The sequence below is a fragment of the Homo sapiens genome, chromosome 17 (genome assembly GCF_000001405.40).
Source record: "Homo sapiens chromosome 17, GRCh38.p14 Primary Assembly".
Classification (NCBI taxonomy): domain Eukaryota; kingdom Metazoa; phylum Chordata; class Mammalia; order Primates; family Hominidae; genus Homo; species Homo sapiens.
The window spans coordinates 79,674,074-79,675,296 of NC_000017.11; positions in this window are offsets into that span (position 1 = coordinate 79,674,074).

Sequence of the window (1,223 nt, forward strand, 5' to 3'; positions counted from 1 at the left end):
TAAAAGGTAGTTTCATCAGAAGAATAGTGGGAAGCTCCTAAAAATCAAGGAGAAAGCTGGGGGAACAGATTCAGAGAGGGATAGCAACGAGGTGACCCCAGGAGACTCTAGTGATGACCTTGGCCTTATCTAATCCCCCCAGGTATAAGAGAAGGGTCCCTGACAGGGGGGCATGCAGCAGGGCCCCTCTGGCTTCTATAGGGGAAGGGCAGGTGTCTGCCTCCCTGTCCCTTGTACACCACGCTTTCCAAGACTCCCCAGCAGTGGAGCATGGGCCTCTAGTGATGCAGAATTTTTGGTTTTACTCAATTGCTACCTCAGAGCCCAGGGCACCCCAAGACAGGGCTTGGTCATGTGGGTTCAAGTGGAACCTCATGCAGTCCCCAGAAGCACTGATCCAGCCACACTCAAGCACTGTTGTGGCTCTAACCAGCATCCCACGTCCCCTACTTGCTAAGAATGTTATTTCAGGGGTCCCACTGCCCTTCTTGCAAGCTGCCTTCCAGCCCCCTCCAAGCTCAGCTCATCAATATGTCAACATCTGAACCCCACTAGGGAGACGTTTCCCCTGGGGTTCCCAGGCTGCACAGAAGTCAAAGGATGGGCCCGGCCTCCTGGCAGAAGGATTCCACAGCAGACAGTGTGGCTCCCTCATCCACAAGCTTGGCCACAGAGGCGTGGCCAGTGCCTCTTGGGTCAGCTTTGACCCAGCCATGACATCTCACCCCATGAGACTTAGGGCTGCAGGAGGAATTTGAGACCCTAGTACAAGCCAAACCTGACTCTTCTGGGCTCATGGACTGGACAGGCCTCAGGCAGAACGTCCCCTGGACACCAGTGGGCAGGGCTGGGGCAGCAGTGACTTACACTGGATTCAGGTCCTCAAACTCACAGCATAGGGGCAAGAACACATCTCTTCTGTGGCTCCACCCACGTCGCTGTCTTTGGCACCTGCTTCCCTGAGCAGCAGACACTGTGCCTGCCTGTCCTGTCCCCTCACCCTTGCAATGCCTTCTGAATGCCAGCACCTGTGCTTCTTTGTCTGAGGGCTTTCTCTGGCTTTTCGAGCCACTTTGTCCCCATCCTCCCCACCTTGCATCCCAGGCAGCAGGCTGGAAGCACCAGGGTGTTCACATCCCAAGGGAGCAGCCCTCAGAGGCTGGTAGGGCTGGTGTGGGAACTCCCAGCTCCTTTGCCTCCTGATGGGATAACCCCAAGACATA